Source organism: Homo sapiens, chromosome 12, assembly GCF_000001405.40.
Source record: "Homo sapiens chromosome 12, GRCh38.p14 Primary Assembly".
NCBI classification, from domain to species: domain Eukaryota; kingdom Metazoa; phylum Chordata; class Mammalia; order Primates; family Hominidae; genus Homo; species Homo sapiens.
In genome coordinates, this window is record NC_000012.12 from 66,640,557 (window position 1) to 66,667,614 (window position 27,058).

The following is a 27,058-nucleotide window of genomic DNA, read 5'->3' on the forward strand; positions in this document are numbered from 1 at the left end:
ATGTCCATTAAAACTCCTTTGGTTTCCAGATCAGTCTACCTTCAAATCAACAGTTATGATTTTTCATTCTTGAGAAAGAAGAACAACTCTCACATCCACAAAATAGGCCATTATAGCATTACTGGGCCATTTTCTCCACACACAAGCATAAAAAAACTAAGAGAGAATTATTCAAAGAATTAATGTTTCAAGCAAAAGCCATTCTGGGTTTTGTCATAATCTTTCAAGGGAATTTTCTCTCTGGTTCTCCCAAAGCATATTTTCTGTACAAAGGAAAATCACTTGACTTTTAAAGCAAAAACAGACAAAATACATGTCTGGAAGTAGTTCATAAATCCCACTGGGGGAAAATTCCTTATACAACAAGAACAGAACAACAACACAGTGAATCAGACAATGACAAAATCCAACGCAAGAGTGCCAATAACTTTTTTTTTCCAGAGGATCCCCTAAATTTCTGCACAAATTTCTATGCTAGAGGAGGCTGAGTATTAACTATACATAGTTTAGTCATATTTTTCCTCATTTTAGACAAACATGGCTTTATCTGACATGCTGAGGTAGTAATCCTTTAGGATAATTTGTCAATTTATCCATTCACTTAAGTATGCCAGGCTCTGAGGAAATGGTAGTAACTGAGACACTGTTGATGCCTCACAGAATTCACAGAAACAGATGTCTGCAGTCAAATGTGGTGAGCACAAAGATCTGCACAGGTGCTACCACTAACCAGGGGCAAGGGCAGCTAAGCCAGCCAGTGGGCGCTTTGACAAAACCATGTGGGACATCTGAGGGGAGCTTTAAGAGATGAGCCTAAATAAGTCAGATTGGGGGAGGAAGGGGTGGGCCTGGATCCCTGAACACATTCTTATTTAGTTTTTAAATTTTTGAATTTTCTACCCTAAAAGTCTAAACTTTCAGAGATAAAAGTTGTAAAATACACCTGCTTCACATATCCTCTTTGCCGTTTTTCTATAAAAATTATCACACATGAAAATGAGCAAAAGCTATTCTTTCATGACACATAGGAGCAACTGGATGAATTTAGTGCAAGCACAGTTACACTAGTAGAACTAAAATGGGAGCTGAGACAAGCTCTGAGGAAATGTTATTTCTTTGAGTTAATACAAGTTAATTCAAAAGAACCCTGAGAATTTTGTAAAGACCTGGAAGGATTCCCAAGGGCATTAATTCTGTGGGTCACCTCTCTCTCTCTTACCTTGGCCATGCCTTATAAGGATCGCAGTGCTACCATCACCTAGCATTGTTCAGATCATGTTCCTACTGAACATATGCGAAGTAGAAATAAGCATCACCTTAAAAGTGAAGGACAGAGTAATAGTTTTCATAACAGCCATACTGCCAATAGAAAGGGTATCCTGAATGGAAAAAATAAAGATCATAGTGTTGTAGACTGCTTTATTCTTCAACAGAATTGACTGTGTGCCCTCAGTGCCAAGTTACAATGTGAATTACAATGCCAAACAAGACACAGAGCTTGGACGACCTTATCAGTCTCGTGGGGGAGAGAAGCCAGTGGACAGGTTCTTACAATATAGTGTTAAATGCCATCCTAGGGGATGTTACAGGTGCCAAGAGAAAACACAACAGGAACAACTAAACCAGACTTTGCAGGGAGGAGGGTGGTGTTGGGAAAGTGACATCTAAATCAAGGCTGGAAAGAAAGGTTTACAGAAGAAAAGGGGGATGGAGAGGAGAGAACTCCAGCAAGAGGGAACTCCAGCTAGAACTCCAGCATGTGAAAGGCAGGGAGGCACCATGTGCCTGGTGCAGTCCATGGGCTAGCAGCAGTTCAGGACTGCTAGAAAGGAGTACAGTGGAAGGGGAAAGAGGGTGCATGTGTGTGTGTGTGTGGTAGGGCAGAGAGAGAAATTGAAGCTAGATTGTTAAGTAAGAGCCAGGTCACCAATGAGACTATATTAAAGAGTCGGAGCCTTATCCCCAGGATGACGGGGAGCCATCATGGTGTCTTCAGCACACAAATGACAGAAGCAGATTCCTGCTTTAGGAAGAACCCTATGGATGCCGGGTGGAGAATGGGTTGAAAGGGATCAGTCAGGGCCCAGAAGGGCAGTTAAGAATCTGATCTAAGTAATCCAAAGACTAACATTTGCAAATTATGAACAATGATTCTAAAATCCATTTGGAAGGATAAATGAGTAAGAATAGGCATACCTCCTTCCTAACCCTCTACCCCATCCCATCTAAGATATTCAACTTAAGACTAATGTAATTAAAATACAGTGATAATAGCACAGAAATAATGCAGATGAATCAATGGAACAAAAAGTCAAGAAGCCTAAGTATATATGAGAACTCAGGTTATTACAAGGGAGGCAAGTGGAATTGTTTTTTAAAATAAACTAGGCTTTGACCATATGTAATAACAAAATATATTCTAGACAAAGATTTAAATACGCAAAACAAAGTAAAGGCAATTCATAAAACAAGACAAGCAGATGCAAAATAAACACAGATACCAATTATTACCCAGCAGATTGGCATGGATTAAAGAAGTTCATAATATCCAGGGGCACTGAGATTATGGGGAAATAAGGACCCTTCTCTACTTTGGTAGGAGTGTTTAAATAGGCATGTCCTTTCTGGAAGACAGTTTAACAAAAGGAACCAAAACTTTTAAAATGTGCGTTGGGTTTCACCCAGAAACCCTATTCCTAGAAATGCATCCTAAGGAAATAACTAGACAGCTACCCAAACATGCATGTATCACAGTGGCAATAGTAACATTCTGAATAATAAATATATTAGTGACAACTAAAATGTCTTGAGACAATGAAATATTATAGAACCACTTAATATAAAGATATCAAACTATTTTAATGACATGAAATGATAGTCACAAATATCAGTACATGAATAAACAAGGTTATAGCATAGTGGGGATAGTACAATTCTGAAATACATATTTGCCTAGAAAAAAGGGAAATTTATATAGAATTATTAATAGTAGTTTTCTCTGGTGTTAGAATTATGATTGGTTTTGGTATTATTATTATTATTTTGAAGCACAGTTTTGCTTTGTCACCCAGGCTCTTAGCTTACTGCAGCCTCCACTTCCCTGGCTCAAGCGATCCTCCCACCTCAGCCTCCCAGTAGCTGGGATTACAAGTGTGCACCACCATGCCCAGCTAATTTTTAAATGTTTTGTAAAGATAGGTTCTCACTATGTTGCCCAGGCTGGTCTTGAACTCCTGGGCTCAAGCAGTCCTCCTGCCTCATCCTTCCAAAGTGCTGGGATTACAGGCATGAGCCACTATGCCTGGCCTGGTTTCTGCTTTATCCTTACGTATTTTCTGAAATTGTCTTGCCATATGTATTAGTCCATTTTCACACTGCTGATAAAGACATACCAGAGACTGGGAAGAAAAAGATGTTTAATTGGACTTACGGTCCCATATGGCTGGGGAGGCCTTAGAATCATGGTGGGAGGCGAAAGGTACTTCTTACACGGCAGCGGCAAGAGAAAATGAGGAAGATGTAAAAGCAGAAACCCCTGATAAACCCATCAGATCTTGTGAGACTTATTCTCTACCAGGAGAACAGTGTGGGAGAAACTGCACCCATGATTCAAATTATCTCCCACCAGGTCCCTCCCACAACACGTGATAATTATGGGAGTACAATTCAAGATAAGATTTGGGTGGGGACACAGGGCCAAACCATATCACCAAGAGTACATATTACTCTGATGATCAGAAAAAACATATAGTGTTCATTTTTCCTTTTGTGAAGAACTGCCAAGAATAACATTGATGGTGGAGTTAATAACTTGAGAGAAACTACAGAAAGAGCAATTGCCTGTATCACATTTCAAGTCATTAACAAGTGACTGCTCCACAGCCTCTTCTCTGTGGATTCAAAAGAAAAACTGATACAGAAAAACTTTCTACCACCAAACCTCAAAAGAAGATTGAAAATCCTTATCAGGAAAACCAGCAGTATTATTGAATAAATTACAACATATTTTGCACTTCAATTGCACAGATAATGTAGATACTCATACACCACTTTCACACTCAATCCCCATATCACATCTCTGCATTTATCAAACCATGTCAAATATTATAATCAGATAACTTAGCATAAAGAAACATGGCTTTATCTTACGTAGGACTCTGTCTGACTTGCAAGAATTCTCATTTACTCATTTAATTCTGTTTTTGCAATTATGAAAGAATAAAAAGCTGTTTCATCTATTTTAATTTTGCATATCAAGCACAGCATACAATACTATGGTAAATGTTTTCATAATAGTCTAAAATCAGTAGCAATAAATGCCACCTTAGTTTTGTAATGTATAATTTTTCAATACTCTTGTTTAAATTAGCATACAGTCTTTAAAAGACCATGTTTAGTGGAAGAACAGGCATTTTTACTGGTAGTAATAGTATTTCTACTAATAAAAATGAGTTATTATTAGAGGAATTTATTTCCCCAATGGCTTTATGGTCAATCAACCACAAATTCAGATTCACACCCAGTTTTAGTTTTATCATGGTATCTTTTTCAACTTCTACAAATAACAATTTTTAAATGAAAAATATTGAAATACTGGAATGGGCTAATTGAATTTTTCTGCCATCTGCATAGTATAGAGTTTTTAAATTATGGAGCACATATAGTTCAATCTCCTTATCTTATTGATGAGGAAACTAAAGCCCAGAGAAAGTAAGCAGCTCTTCTCATATCTCAACAGTCATTAACAGATTGGAAAACAGACCTTAGGTCGCCTGACCTCTATTACAGTGTTTTCTTCACTGCGCTACAGAAAGTCTGAGGACCTTATACATGCAACAATTTACAGAATGTTCTCTCATTCATTGAGCTCCCATAATAACCATGTGGAGTATTACTATTATTATTCTCATTTTACAAAGGGATTAACTTTGGCTTGGAGAATTTAAGTGACTTTGTAACACTTTCAGTCATGAAGTCCAGTGCTTTAGATTCCAAAGCCAGAGCTTTGCCACTCAAATCAATGCTGGGATGTGTTTTCCGGAATTAACTCCCATTAAAAGCAATCCATTGCTGGAAAAGTTTTGGAAGTATAAAATTAAGTGTAAAATTATATAAGAATCTTATAAAAAGATTCATAAATTTCAAGATAATTATTTTCCAAGAAAAAAATCTTTTAGAGTATGCATCTTCTCAAAGCATCAGCTTTCTATAGATAATTAAAAATTGAACTCAGAGAATAATGAAAGCTTACCACTATTTGACTTAGCAAGAAATTCAAGAGGACTCTGATCCAGGTTAACCTTTGTATCAATATCAGGAGGCTCATAGTTTAAGTGAAAATCATCAATGTAAGCGTCTAGGGCTTCGGAGGCAGAGAAATACAGCTTTTCTTTATACTGTATGGAGCCATCAGTATTAAAGGATATGCTGTTCAGTATTAAAGTTGCTGGAAGATAAGATTCAGAAGTGCTAAACTGATGTTTCTTAACTGACTCTGCCATGGCTTTCTCACAATGGGCCACAATGTCCATTCATCTTTCAAGAAATTCTAAACACAAAAAAAGGTACGTTAAGTTTTCAGTTAAGTAGGAATGGATAATAATACTCTTGGAATCCTTGCTAATCTTTCATGTGTAATTACTTATTAAAAATGAAATTACTCTTTATCTCCCTTTATGTTTTATGTATACTTGACTTTCAAGCAATGTTCATTGATTGATAGATGATTAGTTTCATTGGCATGACTGCAAGTGTAAACTGTGTTTCAGAAATATATTTGGGGGAAGGGCGAGAGCGGTGGCTCACGGCTGTAATCCTAGCGACTGGAGAGGCCAAGGCAGGTGGAACATTTGAGGTCTGGAGTTCGAGACCAGCCTGGCCAACATGGCAAAACTCCGTCTCTATGAAAAATACAAAAATAAGCTGGATGTGGTGGCGCGCACCTGCAGTCCCAGTGACTTGGGAGGCTGAAGCAGGAGAATTGCTTAAACCCGGAACATAAGCCTTGCTAGGTGACCACATAAGAGAGGTACTGCTTTCCTTCGTTTTCAGTTTTACTTGATTAAACAAGTGTTCTGGAATCTTGAGATATTTTTATTTGCTACGTTAAAAGATGGCAGTCCTCCATTATCACATTCTAGTTTTCATTCCCTTCACCTGTCCCCACCCCATTGATGGGATAAGGAAAGTCACATATAAATTCAAGATGAAAGCAACAGGGGGCCCTGGCATAATAGTGATGGCAAATAGAGACCAGGTAGCAAGAAGAGGTGAGTGCTGAAAGGAGTAGAATTCAGGCGAGAGGGTGTCCTCTCATGTGATACTCTGGCTTTGGTACAGGAGTTCAGCAGCTGTAGACCTCTCTATTCTCACCTTACATCAATCACTTACTCTTTGCAAAATTATAAAAGGTTGCTACAATTAGTACCCTCATTTTCCAGATGAGAAAATGGTGGTACACACAGATTAAGTAACTTGTCCAAAGCTGCAGACTAGGGAAGCAACAGCCAGGCTGAACTCCAGCTGTGGATTCTGAGTCTGAACTTAACCATTGTGCTAGACTCCCGCCTTATGAGTGCAGTAACTGCCCAGATGACCTGTAATCCTCTAAACGTTCACCACAAGTTACATGCATCAATGTCTGCCAAAATTGGGTGCCGAGGTTCTGTGGTTTCCAATATACTTACTCATTGGTATGTGTGGGGCGAAATGCCATTCATGTGACAATAATATACACATAAGTACCAAAGATTAAATACTTACTTTTTCAGCCCTTTGAAATTTAGGTGGACATGTTGTATTTTCAGAATGTTACATTATACGACATCATAATACATAAATTTTGCATCTGTGGAATATTTTTCAGTTTCCTCTAATATACACAGAAGCTTTTGAGAATCTGAAGAAAACTATGAATCACCTTCCCACAAAAATGCACTTTAGCAGACACAGAGGCAATGGGTTCCAGGATTCCTGAGGCTTGTTCATGGTCCTCCTGCATCTGAATTCTAGATTAAGAACTTTTGTCTAAAGAAATTGACAGAAGTGAAAAGAAAGGAAGAGAAAGAAGGCTAACCAGGAAAAGAAAAATAAGACCCTTATTAGGGATGGAACAAACAAATCCAACATCACATATTCTTAGAGATATCATGGTAAAAAATCTTTTGACTTTAGAGGCCCTGCTCAAAAGGTACTTTGTAAATCATGATCGTCTTTTTCCTCCTCCTTCTCTGGATTTGTCAGTATGAATTAATTACTATTACAGATCAGAGATGATGGGTTTTGGAACTAAAGAGACCTGGGTTAAATTCGGTTTATCTTTACCAGCTGTGTGCCTTAATCCCCTCCCTAACATATGATTCCTTTATTTTAAATTCTGCTTAATAATCTTTAGACCTTGTAGAGTAGCTGCATCTGTTTGATTTCCTGCTGCTTTGCACTAGCATAGCCATTTCAGGGGTAAGACATTGAAATACTTTGAAAATAGTTGCTAAAAGCTGCTTCCCTCCACCCACTCTTCCCCCCTCCCTCCACCAGTGCCTTCTTGCTACCGAGGCCCTGGCCCACTTCACCTAGAAGCCTTCAGACCTGCTCATGATCCAGCAACTTAAGGGGCACCATCTGGCTCCACAGATCCCGCTCCTGGCTTGTGGCTCATGCCCATTCTGCCTGGTTGGTGCCTGGCCATATAGATTGTTAAATGTTTTGAATATCATCCCGGAAGGGCCGTGGTATGCAGTAAGTGTTAGTGTTTCTCCCTTCCTCATCCTTTAGTGCTTTGCCTTTCTCTATTCTGCATATGTATCATGATTTGACCAAATGATCACGAGAATATGGCTTCTCCCTTCTCTAAGTTCCAACAAAATAAGGAATGGATGGGTATTTGTAGTTCCCAGCTTACGGCAGTTGTTCAATAAATGTTTGCTGAACTGGACTTCAGCCAAAATACTCCATTCACCATAAAGCATTCCAGTGTGACTGATGCAGTTGGTAAAAATGTTCTGAAAGACGGAGTCTGCTGGGTTTATTGACAGCTGCTGAGAAGCAACAAAATAGGCAAATACAGTAATGTATTCGAGTCACCAATTTAATCAGAGAATGGCTGAATGCACAGCGAGCAAGAAGTTGATGACAGAGTCGGTGACATTATCATGCATGTTAGTAATATTTTTGAGGTTCACTTATGGCAAATCTTTAACACCAGACTGTCCAGTATGCTTCCACAGCTCAAAGTCCAATTTTAACTGGAGATTTAAAGACGTTTTCTATATCCACTTAGTTGCATGAATAACATTGTAAAGGAAAGTTGACAAATATTTCTAAAACAATCTAGAAAATCAATGTGTAAGATACGCCAGTGATCCTGATAATTGAACACTATTTATAAACAAGTTTATTTGGTGACTTTCATTTTATCATGTACGTGGGAAAGTGCAAATTCATTCTCTTGGTTTTTCACCGTATAGGCTCACAGGGGGTTAAGCAAAGAAGAAAGTGAACATTCTTGTAGTTTAAAAAGCAAGAGGACCATATGCAATAGCTTAAAAAAAGAATCTATATATTTCTTAACTGTATATCAAATAAAATTGCAGATTGTTCAGATATTTTCCCTAGCAATTTCATGTTTGAAGTTGGTCTGGCTCGATTCTCTTGATAGTATTTTTAAAAAAGTATTCATCCTATAAAATCCTCAGGGTGCATGCATCTACCAGGAGGCAACCCACTTCCTGAAGAATAGACAATATTTCAAGTAGAGGGACTAGAGAAAGCCATCAGCTCTGTATTTGTTATCACCTTAGGCTAAGTCAAACTCAGTCAGATAAGCTGAGTCCCTCAAGTCTGGGCAGAGAAAAAGGTCCAGAAATTTGTACTAAGTTCAGTTTCTCCCTCTCATTCAATTCAATTAAACACACAATTATTGACTGACAATGTGCAAGGAACCATGCTGAGCACCGTATAGGGATACAAAGATGGGCTAGGCATTATTTCCCTCACAAGGAGCTTGTAGCCCAGTAGGAAAGATAAAAGCAGCACATGAATGTAACCCAAGGAAAGGCATGCTAAATGCCATCGAGCATCCCCAAGAGTGGCTGAAACACAGAGGAGAGGGAAATTACTTCTGTTTGATGGAAATTGGTAAAGTTTCATTTTAGACAGGGTAGTTAAACTAGGACATGAAAAAGACGTAGGTTTCGGATACACGGAAATGAGGAAAATCGATATGTCAGGAAGAAGAAACACAGTTGAAGACATTAAATAGTAAAATCACACACATATGGATGTAGGAATATATCAGATTTCCTTGGGCTCCTTTCCTTCTGTGGAAGAGCAGGCTAGAAATTCTATGTTATGAACCAAAGTGGTGTGTTTTAGGGCTAGCTATTGTATCTATTTTACAGAAAGGGTAAACCGAGCCACAGAAAGTTTTTAAAGGCTCTAGGAGAATGTGTCTAGCGAGTTATAGAGCTCATATTATTTCCACTACACCACAGTGTCCACTTTGCCTGTCGTGCCCAACGGCAGCTGAATGAAGCCAGCACCGTCTCCACTGGCCATTTCCTTCCAAGTGCCCAACGGCGGGTAGCTCCACATCCAAGGGAGGGCATCCCACTCCACCTGTGCAGTTCTCAGAAATCTCTACCTCAGTTTAAGCCACTGATAGAAGAATACTCTTAAAAGTATTCTTAAAAGATCTTATGGGCCCAAGTCCATCTATGCCACCTGTATCTCAGGCTGCTTGGGGGAGACAAGAAGCACCATGACAGATTTATTTCTTAATCTTGTGAGCTTTTTCCAAAGAACTTGGTAAGCAAATAAAGTATGTTTTATGAAATAGATACCATCTTAACTATTCTCAGTCTGACTCAAGAAATTATAAGCCCTTAAAAATCAAGCTGTGAGTATGCTATGTTATGGAATTTGAATTTTAGTAGAATATAGTCAGTAAGATGAGTTGCATAGCTTTCTGGTAGAAAAGACCTAATGGAAATATGTCACACATTATCTCAATCACTGGACACTGTGATCAAGAATACCTTCCTTGAGAGATAACTTACACATGCTGGTCACTATGATTAACTATCAGCATTTAGACCATTAGCTGATCTTAATGGTCACGAATGAGGAATAGAAGAAACCAGTGTTTGAAATACATAGAGCATAGGACTGGCCAACCCTATAATCTTGAGGGTTCAACTCTTCCCTCAAACTACTACCCTACTGCCTCTTGTTTATTCAACAAATCTCTATTGTCAATGTAGAAAGGTAACACACAGTAGAGTTTAGGAGTCTGGCTCTGACACCACACTGACCAGCTTCAAATCTAGCAGCATAACCTTGGGCAAACTAATTAACTTCTCTCTCCCTAAATTGCTTCATCTCCAAAATGAGCATGGTAAAAATATCCAACTCATAGCACTGCTGTAAGGACTAAAAGGGTTAATATGAGTAAAATATTTAAGACAATATGTACATAGTACTACTGTACACAGTTAGTAATTATTATTGCCTGCTATGACCCAGATGATGTGCTAGCTCCTCCTAGTAGAACATTTGTTTCCTATCATGATGCATATACTTTTTGGTTTTAGGGGATTCCAGCCTACCTAGTCAACAGGTGGTATAGCAACTCTGGAATATTAAGCACCAAGAAAAGAAACCTAGAATTTCATTCCCTGTATCCATTTATCTCCTTAAATTTACATTCCATAGTTGAAGGGATTACCCTAAAGCAGGATCAATATTTGGTTTATTTCACACACTGGAATCATCTGTAGAGCTCAGAAAAGCCTGAGGCTGGAGGAGAGGCATCAGCAAAATTTAAACTATTTCCCAAATCTTAAGCTTTGAGAGATACTGTGTTCTGCTCTAGGGACTGCTTTTCTCCCGATGTCATTTAGCTTTTTCCCCAGCATTCTCAATCCTCTTTATTTCCAAATCAGAGAATACTCATGATTGTTGTTCTTTTAACGTGGATATGAGCACTTGAGCAAATGTAGCTGCTGAAAGACTTTAAAAGATTTTATTCACTTTAATACACCATGGCTAATTGGGGAAAAGAGCAAACAAGCACATTAGGATTATATCTGTAGGCCTATAACTGTTTACCGGCACACTGGCAACATGTTAAGTAGAATGTGACAATACTGGGTAATGAGGAAAAAAAATTCATTTGCTTGGGGAAAATCTCTATGGACCTAACTTTGAGGAGGAGGGAGGGGAGCATTTACTCATTTTTTTCTAAACTAAATATAATATCATCCATCACTTCTAAATATTTTTTTTTAATTAAGGAAAAAAATACTAGAATGAAGAAGGGACCAAACAGGCTGCCCAGATCCATTTCCTACCATAATGTACACCATATTTTGAGAGTTTTCTCAGTGGAGGTTGTGGCATCTGGAAATACTTGTGAGAAAAATTTAAATACTATGAAGCAAAGGGGGTTCTGAGGAGTATGTTGAAATTTAATGGAAGAGAAGTATTCTGCCTTTTGGGAAAGGTGATTCTTCTTAATGAAAAATCAAATGACTTGAAACAAATTCTTATTTCACTACATCTCTAGGCAAAGTCCTATAGTAGCAGCTATGGGAGTGAAATGGGTTGGCTGTGTCCCCACCCAAATCTCATCTCAAACCGTAACCCCTATAATCCCCACATGTCGAGGGAGGGACCTCTTAGGAGGTGATTGGATCATGGGGGTGGTTTCCCCCATGCTATTCTCATGATAGTGAGTGAGTTCTCATGAGATCTGATGGTTTTACACATGGCAGTTTCCCCTGGGCTTTTCTCTCTCACCTGCTGCCATGTAAGACATGCCTGCTTCTCCTTCTGCCATGATTGTAAGTTTCCTGAGGCCTCCCCAGCCACACGGAACTGTGAGTCAATTAAACCTCTTTCCTTTACAAATTACCTTGGGTATTTCTTTATAGTAGTGTGAAAATGGACTAATACAGGGAGAAAACAAGAAAACGTAGGAGATAGTGCTTTGCCTTCATGGAGATTCTGATGCTGTGGGAGAGAAGAAAAATGTGTTTGAAAGTTAGCAGTTGGCACTGGGCAGGTCATATTAGTCTGCTAATGACTAGAGCCAACAAATAGAGGTAGACGCTCTGCACAGCGGGTGCTAGAAAGCATTTCCCTGCTGATCTGAGTGGCCATGTCCCCATCACTCCAGGTGCTTTTCCTGCTCTGTGACCAAAGCTGATTTCAATAACAAGAAGTCTGGTCTGGCCTTTTAGAATTCAATAAAAAGTTTCCACTCCAGACACTCTTGGACTTCCATTAGGGCCTGTGTATGCCTTGCATATGGTGGAGAGCCAGATGAGGGTTATGAAACAGACTACAGCTTTTCATCCCTAGCTTGTTTGATCTGTAAAGTAAGAATGCCAGTTGCTTTACTTGAAAGACTCCAGAGGTAGAAAAGACTATCTTAAAAGAGTACAAGAGTAAAGAGTTTAAATTGGTTGTTCTGGGATAAATTCTATTTGCTTACAACTAGATTTTGTCAGAAAAGTCATGGTTGTTCCAGGTGTGATGGCTTTGTTGCTCTTGGTAAGAGTTGAATCCTTGGATTTCTTGATATTGATTTCTAGATCTCAGGCTCTCCGTTTCTACATACAATTTTCACTGAATTTCTAAACTTAAAATAAAAAAAAACCTCTTTCCTACAAGTGTTAATATTTAATCAGTCTAATTACCCCATCATAACTTTCCAAATATCTCTTTTTAGGTAAAATACCAAATTGTTAAAACCAGGGCCTTTATAAACATTAGGTGCCCCTGTAAGCTGAACAGCTCACATTTTTGCAGAATATTCAGGCATTTTGAACTTGCCAACTTATCCCCTGGAAGTATCACCTAGAATGAGAACTATTTGGTAAACAGAATCAGTGAACAATCTCACACCTCTGTATTAGCCATTCCTCCACTTCCTAATCTCATGTAGTAGAATAGAAGCTTTAGCACAGTATTGCCTTATCTTCAGTTTCTTACATGCTTAAATTTGGCAGTTTAGCATTTATGTCACTGTGGGAGGATATCGAACCCAAGAAACTGTTGACGCACACTAGACTAGGAAGAAACTATTTGCTATAAGCATTTGGCAGATGCACTGTAAACCACACCCAAGATAATCGACTGCCTGAAACATCAACACAATTCAGTGGATACCTCCAATAGACTGCTGCTTATGCTTAACACATAGCAATGAAATTTAAAACAAAATTTAGGGGGCATATCTATACTCAAAAACAAGATTTATACCTCTGTGGACCAAACTTTGAACTGAAATATACACAATTGAGTAGAGACCAGAGGTGTCCAGTCCTACTGGGTCAGGACTGGACAGAGGCTGTGATGACCTGATGTTCACAGCCTCAGAGAACAGAGACTAAAAGCCTTTCACATGCAAAAGTCAATGAATTCAGGATCACTGCAGGAACCAGTGGCTGAGGCAGGGCATCCTTGCTACAGAGGCTGAAAACGCTGTGGTCACCACTCAGCACTGTGACCACTGATTGATTGGGGTAGAGGGAAAGAACAAAGCTATCAGGCACCAAACATAGGTGATAGATTGAAACTTTTTCAACATAGGAATAGAATCCCTAGCAGTGATAAGGGAGACAACTACAAAAAATTTGGACAAGAAGAAGTGATCTTAAAGAAAAAAAAATCACAAAATGACTAAAAAACCAAATTAAACCACACTAAAACTATTCAAGATGAACTTGCAAAGATAAGGTAAAATAAAGTATCTAAGTGAATACAACCTGTGCCAAAAACATGATAAGGAAAACAAATATAGGTCAAGTCCTACAGAAGAGGGTTGTAGAGAGGATTTTTGGAAAGGTAAAAAAGGAAGGAAAATTTTGTGAAAATGAAACACCATACGCAAAATCATGGAAGTTGAATGTGGAATGTTGCTTGGTCCCTGGTTAAGTATCAGAGCACTAAGAAAAGAGGAGTTAGGAGTAGTTGGAGAGAGAAATGTGCTTTATAAATTGACATGGGGCCAAACTATGCTGGTATGTAAATACCAGGAAGAGAAGTTGAACTTGATTTCTAAATAATGGCAGCAGGACAAAGGTGTGATAAGCAAGGTGGTAGCATTTACTGGAAGGAGGAGAGGAGGGCTGTGGGGTCCTCAGATGTTTGGGGAGGTGATGAGAGTTGTTAAGATATGACATGAGGATGTCTGCGCCATTATGTACAATAAAGATGGAAAGAGATGTTTTAAAGGTAGAATTCATAAGGAACAGATTGGGTTAGCCACTGGGGATAAACAAGAGGGAAAATTTAAATATTGTAAGTCTGGGAAGCTGGTGCCACTAAAGCAATGGTGAAAATTAGAAAAGACATTCCCCTAGGAATAAAGAAAAAAATCTAATTTAGTCATGCTGTTTTTTACATTCTTATTTTATTTTCATTACCTCTTTAAAGTATTGTACGCAGGAACATGAAGAAGACATGAGATGTTTAAACACTCATCATCAAGATTTCACAAATGTATATCTTTTGTTAAAATTGTATCAGATATTTTTAAAGTAACAAAATGATCCAGATACTACTCTGGATCAACTTCTCCAACTCATATCCCTCCACGTTCCCCCAAGAGGCAACCACTATCCCCAAATGGGGGTTGTTATCCTCCTGCTGTGCACTTTTATGCTTTTCCCACATTTGGATGTTCTTATACACTATTACTTTGTGTGCTTTAACAATTCATATAAAATCATGCTGCAAATCTTTCTGTTTTGTTTTAAAGACTTTTTTATGGTGGCTTTAGGTTCTCTGCAAAATTGAGAAAAGGGTACCGAGATTTCCCATATGCCTCCTGCCCTGCCACATGTGCAGCCTCCCCCACTATCAACATCCCACACCAGTGTGGTACATTTGTTACAGCTGTATCTACATTGATGCCTCATTATCACCCAAAGTCCACAGTTTACAGTAGGGTTCACTCTTAACTACTTTTCATTCTATGAGTTTGGACAAATGTATAATGACACGTATCCACCATACACTAATATTTTTTTGCAGTTTTTTTGTACTTTTTTTTTTTTTTTTTTTTTGAGACAGAGTCTCGCTCTGTCACCCAGGCTGGAGTGCAGTGGCACGATCTTGGCTCACTGCAAGCTCCGCCTCCCGGGTTCACGCCATTCTCCTGCCTCAGCCTCCTGAGTAGCTGGGACTACAGGTATCCGCCACTGCGCCCAGCTAATTATTTGTATTCTTTTAGTAGAGACGGGGTTTCACCGTGGTCTTGATCTCCTGACCTTGTGATCTGCCCGTCTTGGCCTCCCAAAGTGCTGGGATTACAGGTGTGAGCCACCGCACCTGGCCTTCTGTACTTTTATGCTTTGAACACATATATATGTTAATACAAAGAGAGCTAGTGTATTGATATATCATTTGAGGGAAATTAGATATACTGAAGATCAGGTGAAGGACTGGAACTGTAAGTATTGATTTGACACCTATAAATATATAGGGAATAATTGAACTCTGAGTATAAATTTTTTCTCCAGGCATCCAATAGACTCTGAGGTTTTTGAGAGCAATGAGCCTGTCTCATTATCTTTGAAAGCCACATGGTGCCAGTCATGGTGTGATACTCAACAAATGATTGTCAAATGAATAAATGAACAACTTTTTCTCTCTCTGTAGAATATGCAACACAGCTTGGAAACTGGCAGCCACAGGCAAAATTTGAACTATAAGTGAATTTTGTTAGCCAACAGTGTATTTTTTTCAATAGAATAAATCTTTTAAGATTGGGAGATTTCCCATTTTAAAAAAAAACAGATCCTGGGCTTTATTGCAAAATCTAAATATCTGACAACACCTGGCTTGTACTTCAGCCTGGCAATAATCAAGGTGAGTAGCTGCAGCCCTCCTTAAACAGACTAAGTTTCCAGTGTGACATTACCACTTCCCAGTGCCTCTCTGACACCAAGACCAATTGTCTCTTACCACGGATTATTGCTTGCACTGTTGTTTTTCTTATGGTACGGCATATTTCACTGTATCCTAGCTTCTAAGAAAGAGGGAAAAAATTAAAATGGACTGAAAGGTCCCAGTGCTTCATGCAAAACTGGAAATAACATATTTCTTTGCAAAAGTAAAGGCTGTATCCTTAGGTGTTTAATATGCAAACAGTGTATCTAGGTCATGGGGGATGGCACTTATTTATTAATTAAATAAATATTAAATGCCTGGCTCTTGAAGGTATTTCAGTTTGCAACCCGACCTCCTCTTCTCAGATACTTTTAAGAAATGCAGTATTTACATGAACTTTAAAGAAAATGAATTTTCTCTTTGGCTTTTTAGTATTTAGTCTCACTTGGTTTTTATCCCAATAGAAAATTCTAATAACCTGGAAACCTTGCTAATCTCAATTTTCTCTACTAGATTGACCTAGTAGAACCAGCCATGATTCTTGTGTAATTTACTATCAGCAAATATTTCCAAAAATTGAAATCAGTTTGATTTTGATGTAAACAAGAAAAAAAAATGGGAGCAATTCATTTTAACTCTAACTCTAGGATTGCCAGTTATAGGGAATTAATCAAAAGGTTAGATTTGCCTCACCAAATTTTCACCTTTAAATGATGTAAGACAGCTCTCTAAATGACAATTTATCAATCAAGGATACTCATCAGCAAGGGTCCTGAAAGGAAGATGATGATGAGAAGTAGCTGTCAGCCTCTACTGAAGGAGGACCCTCCCCACCACCCTGGTCCCGCCCCATTCGCCGCCACACCACTGCCCAGGTGAGGTTGAACCACTTCTGACTTTGGGATGGGAAGGCAGTGGCTTTAGCACCCAATCCTCATAACTGGACAGAATATAGAGTGTCAAAAAAGGTGGCAGGGACTGGCTGGCTTTATGTCTCAAGTAGGGTGTCCTTCTGTCCTAAACTGAGCCTCTATTCAAGCTTTACTCCAATCATCATCTTAGATAAAATAGATCTTTCAGGTCTGTTACATTAACAGAAGTTTATTTTTATAGAAAACATGGTCTTCTGTTAGAAAGTAATGTTATTAGACTTAAAAGTAGGGGACATCTGAACCCTTGCTGGAGAAGCAGATTCTAAAAGCCACACCATCCCTTATCCCATGTTTGTATGAATTCAGACACTTAATTTCCAGCCCTGACGGGTTTCCTTTCCACTGCATTTTAAAGCTATTCCCGCATATCTAGCATGAACCTAATCGCCATGAAAATGTATGACTCTTCCTAGATGGATAAGAGAAAAACAACAGACAAAGCACGATGGCCGTAATGTCTCCAAGGCGACAGGAGGGATTCTATTTTAGGGGATTTTAAAGTTTGCTCTTAAATGTCTGAAAAAGTCATGTTTCAAGAATTTAACTTAAATTTAGGTTCTTACAGAAACATAAAAGGTATTTTAAACTTTATTAGTCAGTAGTTTACAGTTTTCTCACACCCTAAGAAGGTAAGTCCTGATAAACCCTTAAGGGGGAATTCTCTACATTTAAAGTGTACTTATTAGTGAAAGTAATGGTATGAAATTATTTCAAAAGTTAATAAACATAAATAAACATATATATAAGAATATTTATACAACTGATTTGTTAATGCAAAAAAACCTCTGAAAAATAAAGACAAAAGAAATCAATAAGAATGATACAAATGATACACAAGATTTTTGCTACTATTAATTAGCAAATTACTTTGAGAACTTAATGCAACCTAAGCTAACCGTAGGTTTGGGATGAGGACTCTCTTCGCAGCTAGAAAAGATCCTTGTAAATGTGAAGGAATGCCTAGTAAGTAAAGTACGGTAGTAATTAAAATTGTAGTCTTGTATTCCTGTAATCCATTCCTTTTGGGAGCATCCTTTTGGGGGCATGACTGCATGTGGATATGATAAGCAACCAACTTAAAATCCTTCATCTAGCTGGGGCAGGAGAATGGCGTGAACCCGGGAGGTGGAGCTTGTAGTGAGCCAAGATCGTGCCACTGCACTCCAGGCTGGGTGACAGAGCGAGACTCCATCTCAAAAAAAAAAAAGAAAAAAAAATCCTTCATCTAAAAAGCAGCTCCTGGCCAGGCATGGTGCCTCATGCCTGTAATCCCAGCATTCTGGGAGGCCAAGGCAGGAGGACTGTTTCAGCCCAGGAGTTTGAGACCTGGGCAACACAGGGAGATCCTGTCTCTAAAAATAAAAATAAAATAAGATAAAATAAAATAAAATAGCCAGGTGTGGTGGCATGCACCTGTGTTCCCAACTACCTGGGAGGCTGAGGGGGGAAGATTGCTTCAGCCTGGGAAGTTGAGGCTTCAGTGAGCCATGATCATGCCATTGCACTCCAGTCTGAGCAACACAGTGAGATCTTGTCTCCAAAAAAAAAACAAAATAAAACAAAAACAAACGAACAACAACAACATAAAAGGATAAAAATAAAAAGCGGCTCCTGAACTCCTTGCCTTGCTTACCCTGCTCTAGCAATACTGTGCCCCGTGATGATCCTTACATGCCAAGTTCATTCCTGCTGCATGGCTTTTGTACTTGCTCTTCTCTCTGTGTAGAATACTCTACCCTAGATAGTCATGTGGCTTTCATGTCTTGGCTCAAGTATCACCTAATCAGAGGCTGTTCCTGACTACTCCATTTCAAATAGCGCTTTCCCCCTCACTCTGTAACCTCACACCCTCTGTTAACTTTCTGCATAACATTGAGTGTGCATTTATTTGAATATTTGTTTATTGTTTTACTCTGCCATTAGAAGTGAAGCTCCATGGATGCAGAGACAAGGCCTATTTTATTTGCTGCTGTGTAAACCCTCACCACCCAGAGTTTTATCTCACACGTAGGTGCTCAATAAATATTTGTGAATGAATAAATGAAGTTGTCATTGTGCATTTCTTTTTGCAAACAACTTTGCTCTATTTATTTCATAACAAAATACTTAAAAGTTACATTTCCACATGCATTAATACAGTGTCACATAATCCTTGAGGATGTGAATGTTAAGGTGTTTCCATTTCATAAGCTCCTAAAAAAGAACACATGTACCAGTCTCTGTATTGATTCTAATTTAATATAAACTCTATATGTACACAATCTAATAGAACAATTCTTTTACATTTAAAATTGCTGTTCATTCTGACAGTATGTTTTGTATGTTCTCTAAACATGGACATTTTAAAGATATAGTTCTTGAAGGACCCAGTTTTGTAGCATATACTCACTGATGACTCAATAACTATTAACTCTTGGTGACTTGTTGCCATGCAATTCTCTTGTAAATTCTCTCTAGTGGAAAAGAAAAAGGAGTTCTACCTTGCTTTTAGACCACAGAAATGGTCTTATATAGTATAAACTCCCAAAACGCATAGAGTTAACACACAGGTTCAACACACAAAATAAACAAAGGGTTGTTTTTCTATTAAAATGATTCTATTTGCTGTACCAAGATAGCATCAAAATAAATCAATGTTCATGCTTCTTTAGAGAGAAAAACTAAAGTATCTACTGTTTTCTATGATTCTCATGTTGATGCCTAAATGCATAAAATGTGACGGCCTCAGCCCAACTATTCTCTTGTGAACTGTTAGCTGTCTTTGAAGTAAGGAATCAATATTGTGTTCACGTTAGAATTTGTGACTATCTTCAAACCTTAGTTTGGCTATTAAAATGGTCTATAAAATTCATACCCTAAAATAATAGCTAAATATTAAATATCAAAATCAATATCATAATATATCTCCTATTATAATAATGCACCTACGTATTCAAATGAATGACTGTAGCTTAGTATTGGAATATTTATCAGATTGTTCTTATGTCATGGGTAAACCTTCAATGCTGTTTGAGGCACTGAGGAAAAATGATTAAATTAATGAATTATCCTCTAATTGATATTTAAATCAAGAACTTATCCATCAGCTAATAACAAAGTATCAATTAGTTATTATTAATCAAGGTCTGTTAAACAAGATTTGTATTGTATAATTACAACATCTTCAACATTTATATTTCATGAAACCATAAGACTACATAATAATTGTACAAAATTTTACAAAGCAATTTCACATACACATTTCTCATAAACCAGTTTCAGCCCATTGTTTCATATGGCAGCACATAACACATTTCTGCTGCATGAAGTGATGTTTGAAAAGAAGCCTACGTTATTAGTTTGTCAATTTGCTTTTATTCAGATATTTATATTTATATTATTGATTCCCTGCTAGGTGCTAGGTATTAAGGATACTGAGAGGAATAAGATATGGGCTATGCCCATTAGAGTAGTGGCTATTTTTGCAGAGCATCCAATAAATTTGTGTGTATATGTTTATATGTGTGTATATATTTATGTATACATGTATACATGTGTATTACATGTATACAAATATATATTATACAAATATATCATCTTATCTTTCTAGGATATAAATAGTTATACTCTGAACACATATAAATATTGAAGTTGGAATGAATGTTATCATTTTAGGAAAATAAAAGCATAATATACAGATAAATAATGGCTTTCCTGGAAACGACAGAAACATGCTTAAGTTTCCAGTTGTGATGCACCTAGAAATTGAGAAATACTTGAAAAAATGGCTCCTATACAGTAATCTGAAAGCAGAACTGTCCTTCAGATTAGGAGGCAACTTCCATCGCCAATTTGAGAAATTTCAGGAAGAGCTTCCTATGCTGAATATCAACTGGCCGAAGAGTGTACAGTTCTTCCGTTGGAGATTTAAGTCATCTAAAATTTCCAGTGAAAAAGGCCAAGTCTTTGGAGCACTGAAACAATCAAAATCCCTAGGAGTTAATTTCTCAAAAGAGGAATTACTTCCATCAAACAACAAAAAGTTGGCTCTGAAAGTAAGGTTGTACGAAAATGAAAGCTTTGTTAGATTTTGGCAAAAAAAAAAAAAAGGTGGAGGGGAGATGGGAAAAAAAATAAACCATACTTACTACTATTTTCAATTTGACTTGGGGGAAGTCCTGTCTAGAGAATTTAGCATAATCTTTTTCAAAACCTCAGAGGGCTTCCATATGAATATTAAACACCATGTAACACATATCTTACCCTTGGTGTTGTCTAAAATTTCACTGGAGTTGTAGGAAAGATCAGATAATTCATACATTTTCGTTTTCTCAAGCAAATATTTTTCTGAGTTTTTGTCTAGTTTTACATTTAGCATTACTGTAGTATCATCTCAAGCCTGTACAATGGCCAGTATTCTATTTCTATAGTTATCAACCCATTCTTCTTTCCATCTCTATCCTTAAGACATTTTAAGTCAAATGATTAATTCATCCAGAAGTCTTTGGCACTTAATGTAATCATTTCAAGATTTCACTGTGTACCATTTGGGATAGTAAAATTTTGGCCAGAAATGATTTATATAGAACAAAGGTCTTTTCCTTCTCATACGTAACACTGTAGCCATTCCCACCCTGGGTTCAGTGAGAGAATGGAGCCCTATTATTCTAAAGTATCCATACTCCTGCGCATGTAGAATGATATTAATTGTGTACCAACCTTGGAAGAATTAAGAAAACAATCAATCAAAGCATTTTCAGGGTTCTGCGGTTCAGATGAGTAACCCAGGTTGAGAAAGACCGAGATTTACTCCATTCAAAATGCCCCTCTAGAGAGGTTTTCCCTCTAACTGTGGCTAATATCTATTAATCCTGACTGCCCCCTTGTTATTTTCTCAGTTCATTGCCTGCTGTAGTCAAAAATTCTGCTTCTTTCCTCTCCTTCCTCTGAAGTCTCTCTCTCCACTTCCCCATTCTACACTCCTGGCCCTCAAAAGTCTATACAAGTTAAACACAGTATGGTGGAAATCATGCATAACCTGTTTAACTTCACATCTTTTTATAGTATCATATTCCCTTGAGGGCAAAAAAGGGAACTTTAATATATTTCTGCTAGCAGCTGATGAGTCAAGATTCTTGTGCCTATTATAAAACTTCTCCAAAGGGAAGCATAGAAGCACACCTTTCTTTAGATGATTGGGTGAATTATTTCATGATGCATTTTCCATATTTTGTGGTATACAAGCCCGTCCCTTCCTAGGATTTGGTAAGAACTACTTTAAAAAATTTCTATTGCTTACCTAAATGTTGAAAAAGATCTCATGAAAATAACCTCTTCCTACCAGAATACTTGATATTCTACCCTGTTTCTCTTCATAAAAACAAAGCAATGGTAAGCCTGAACCACTCAATCTAATCTCTTGCATTAAGGAGCTAGTTTTCCACTGTCGATTACTGCTCTACCCTTCCTGATCTCATTGAGATGAGGTTAGACATTTTGTCATGTTCACTGATCTTTTCTGCCTTTGATTCCATAAACAGGAACCATCTATGAGTCAAGCTGTACAATCTTGGATTAAAGCCCAGGCTATCAATGCTTTTTCAAAGGGTGTGCCATAATACTGCTGTCAGAATCAGTTTGGATAAGAATGCTTGTTTGACAGATCAAATTCTAATTCTAAATGGTATAGCATCCCCTTTCTCATTAACCTTTATCACAGCAACTTGATAATGTTCTGAGATCAATTGGAATTATGCCCACAAGCTCTACCAAATTGAAAGATGACTATCATTCTTTATGTCATTGTTTTATTATGAAGTTGTATTAATTATTGTCATAAAGAGCTTAGCATAGATACACTAATGATAAAATGCTTATATTTTGTGAATATTCTCTAATATATAAATAAAAAACTGAACCTCTTCCCAAAAGTTTACTTATTCATCTATATGGGGGGAAGGTACATTGTGTAGAGAATTTAACTTGCCAGGCTTCAGGCTTCTCAGGAAGAAGCTGTATTCAAAAGTAGAGTGTATGAAGGTCATCTACCTCTTTCACCATCTGGGGGGCCAATCAGTAATAGCTGCCTTTTAAATGTTATGAGTTCAAATCATCTCTTTTTGCTTCATGGCACAGAGCTTAATGGTTTGACAGAATTGACTTGAAATGATTTGACAGATTCAAAATGCAGACAGCTCTGCACTTTGGAGGTATGTGTGGGGTGGGTGAAGGAGTCCAATTCAACTACAGACATGTCTGTAGTTTATTTCTGTGCAGAAGTGAGTGGGGAGACTCTGTCTAGGAAAGAACTTGTTAGGCTCCTAAATTTTTGTAACAAAGTGAAAACTTTGCCTCCTACACATATGAACTCTAAAGCGTGTGTGTCTAACTTTGTAAACAATACCAGAGAATACTGGCACAGGAGGCAATTCTCAAAATTCACTGCAACGTTTTCCGTTTGCACCTGCCAAGTGTGCACTTGAAACAACTTGCGTTTGAAAGCCACTGTCTAAGGATCTAAGAATGGCTGGTGCATCTATGCTCCAATCTGTGTTGAGATAAATGAATGCTTTCCAAAAATCTGGTTTCTACAGTGTTAGCGCTACTTGAAGAAAGGTCCTATCACCAAATAAATTGGGAAAATACTGGTTTAAACAAAATTAATTGGATTTATTTTCTATCAAACTTCTAAGGGTCTTTAATATGCTAATATGGTTTTGAATCTACAAAAGGGAGATTACATTTTTTTTTTTTGCATTTCCAAGACAATTTAACTCGAACCCATTTCTGATGGAGTAACTATTCACATCTAGCAGGGTTAGTTTTATGAAGAACAAAGGTTGGGAAACACTGAGCTAGAGCTCCAAAAATCAATATGCTCAGACTCTACTACCTGCATTTCCTGAAGAAATTACTTCCCTGCATTATGACATCATATTGTGCCCTTGGCTTTTGTAGTGAGTCAACAGAGAAAGAGTTTTAAAAATAACTTTATATTTTTGCCACACCATAATTATAGTCTCTAACATACATTAGATAAACATTCATAGTATATATTCCTTCTAGAATTTGTTGCCAGGTATGATTATGTCTTCAGGTTCATTAATGGGCAATGAGATTTATAAACACAGTAAGAGCTTCCCCTGCCTAACCCTCAAATGCTAGAGAACTAAAATGTGCCTTAATACAACAAGAAACATATTCTGGGTTGCTGAAAAATTTTCTTCCTAAATAATATTTTGTGTCTTTTATATTATAATTGGGTATCTTGATATTTAGCTTCCTTATCATTAAGCTGGGTTAATAAATTTCACCTTAATAATTGTGGTGAAGAATGTAAGGTATGAAAATTTAATTGACATAGGTACATAATATACCCAGTTCAGTATCTCAATTATGATAAGCATGAAATAAATGGTAGCTATTGTTATTAGTAATGTTAATATTACTTTTAATCGTTTTGTTTTTCTCTTTTTAATGTTAATGGTACAGGAGAGTAAAAGATAAAAAGTAAAAGTTTTCTTCCTCCATTCTTTCTCTCCCTCATTCCCCTTCCTCAATAGGAATTTTTTTTTCTTTTTACTGCTTCAGTTTCCAAACTTCTGAAAATACCAGAATAAATGTTGCAATTTCTTGGCTTACTAGGTTTTCTTTTCCTTTTTTCTTTTTAGACAGGGTCTTGCTGTGCCACCTAGGCTAGAGTGCAGTGGGGCGATCACTGCTCACCAGTGTAGTCTCGATCTCCCTGGGTGAAGAGAACCTCCCACCTCAGTCTCCCAGGTAACTGGCATGCACCACCACATCTGGCTAATTTTGTAATTTTGTGTAGAGACAAGGTCTTGCCATGTTGCCTGAGCTGGTCTTGAACTCCTGTTCTCAAGCAATACTCCCATGGCAGCCTCCTAAAATGCTGAGGTTACAGGCGTGAGCTAACACAACCAACCAAAATAAACTTTTTATTACAATATGGCATACACAAAGAATAGTACACAATTCAAAAATGAACAACTAGGTGAGTTTTCAGAAAGTGAACATACCTATATAATCACAACTTAGAATAAGAAATAGCAGAGCTCTGGTATCCCCATAAGTGTGTGTGTCCTCCCTGAAGTTAACCACCATCCTAACTTCTACCCTCATAGATAGATTTGGAATGGTTTTGAGATCTGTCATAAATGATATCATACACATTTTTCCTGCTTAGCTTCTTTGACTCAACATTATGTTTGTGAGAATCATGCATTTTATTGCATGGCAGAGTGGTGCATAGTATGCCAATAATTACCACATGTATTTATGCATTCTACTGTTAAGGGATATTTGGGTTGTTTCCAGTTTTGTGCTATTACAAACAGTGCTGCTAGGACCATTCTTGTACAAGTCTTTTGAGTCACGTAGCATGCATTTTTTTGGGTATAAAACTAGGAGTGGGACTGCTGGGCCATCTGATATGCATACGTTCTGTTGCAGATACTACCGAACAGTTTTCTAAAAGTAGTAGTATCAAATTATACTTCTATGAGCAGTATATGAAAGTTCCAATTGCTTTAAATCTGGGCCAACTTTTCATACTGTCAGTCCTTTTAATTGTAGTTTTCCTTACCATGTCAACTTCACATGGTATTTTACAACATATTCTATGTAAGTTAACACAGTTAACAGCCCTATACTTCCCTGCACTTGTCTTTCCCCCACAAACATAAAGCTAGTCAGGTATGTAACTATCTTTATACTGTAAAAACTTATATTAATAACATTTACGTTCCCTTCCTAGTTATAATTTTTATGCTTTCTCTGTACAGATAGAATATAAAATTTTAAATATGAATAACAATTATAAAATGATGATTATGTAAATATTTTTCACTGGAGAATCAAATACTATGATGGAATCCCTAAAGCAGGAGATGCATTCTATGTTCCTAAATCTGTGCTACTCAATGGAGAATCTTCCAAGTATAAAGGTCAAGTTCATCTGCCAAAAATTTTTTAAAAACATGACACATTTTACATTGCTTCATATTTGGATTTTTACCTCTTGTCCAGCTTTTGTCCCCCTTAGGATTTCTATTTGCCTTTCTTGTTCTTGTTGACAAAAGAAAAATTATATCTTTACTTTATCATTAATTTAATACATTATTAAAATTCTATCATATTATAATTAATTTGTCATTATTAAGAAATCCATATTCTTCATCAGGCCTTCTGCCTTGACTCTGATGACTGGTTCTCATTTGGATTGACTGTACTCTACTATATAACTGCTATTCTGGGATATCATTCTGCTGCACTCTTAAATTAGATCCACAGCTTCTCGACTTTCACACTTTCCTCTTTCCTAGATTACTTCTATATACATTTTTGCTTAAGTATAATCTCCAGTCATTTTTTTTCTAAGAGCATGTGTTGGATTTAAATTTTCTGAATCATTGCATACCTAAAAATGTATTTATTTTATGCTCACCCTTGATAGACATTTTTAGGTTTGAAGCATTTCTTCTCAAACATTGAAACCTTTTTTTTTTTTGATTTGGTATTGATAAAAATCTGACACGAAGTTGATTCTAATTCCTTTATAGGAAACCTATTTTTATTTCTCTTGAGAAGTTCTTAGGATCTTCTCATTTTCCACGATGTCCTGGAAGAGGATTTGTTTATGTCTTTGTTTAGTAATTTTGCTTAGAGCTCAAAGGGCCCTTTCAATCTGAAAACATGTTTGAATTTGGAGAATTTACACCAATCATTTCCATTATAATTTCTTTCCCCTTTTCTCGTCTGCTCTCCAAATGCTTTTTAGGTTGATGTTGTACCTATTCAATTGATCTTCTATGTATCTACATTTTTCAAGTATTTGCCTTAACTTTGTCAACTGTTTCTTTTAGTGAATATTAATTTTAGCAGTCATAGTTTTATATTCTGTGAATTCTGTATATTTCTCTTTTGCTCCCTTGTCATTATAGCTGGTCATGCTTTGTGGATGTGATACCTTCTTGAATGCAATATTCACTTGAATGCTTCTGAGGCTACTCATTAGAATTTTTAAAAATCTCTCTTTTGTTCCTGAATCACCTCTTCTTTCTTCAGGTCAGTTGTTAGTCCAAAAGATGTCAATGATCCCTAGTTATCAGTTTACATTTATTAATAAAGAACTAGGTTGCCTAATACAAGTAGCTGGTGTGAGTTATAGCACTATGTTTTCTTAACCACTTTTTCCCCAGGATAACAGGGCATGATCACTGGCAGACTTCACC

General features: G+C 37.3%; 1 protein-coding gene across 22 annotated transcripts in view, besides 1 other annotated feature; it reads right to left on the reverse strand.

Annotated features, from left to right (window-relative positions):
* Window positions 1–27,058, reverse strand: part of GRIP1 (glutamate receptor interacting protein 1) — a 721,908-nt gene that overhangs the window by 293,126 nt on the left and 401,724 nt on the right. For 3 of the 22 annotated variants that reach the window (XM_047428618.1, XM_017019100.2, XM_017019098.2), the window contains exon 1: window positions 5,252–5,815. The exons of 18 other annotated variants lie outside the window; for them this stretch is intronic. In XM_047428618.1, coding sequence (XP_047284574.1) covers window positions 5,252–5,531 — 280 coding nt within the window. In that variant the 5' untranslated portion in view covers window positions 5,532–5,815. Of the gene's footprint in view, window positions 1–5,251; window positions 5,817–27,058 lie in introns of those variants that run through there. One more of the 22 variants, XM_047428616.1, reaches the window with a different exon arrangement.
* Window positions 18,369–18,870: an enhancer, noted in NCBI's record as "NANOG hESC enhancer chr12:67052705-67053206 (GRCh37/hg19 assembly coordinates)". NCBI's record gives its function as "activates a minimal SCP1, AML or CMV promoter by ChIP-STARR-seq in naive H9 embryonic stem cells {active_cell/tissue: H9 hESC(naive)}" and the evidence as "EXISTENCE:reporter gene assay evidence [ECO:0000049][PMID:30033119]".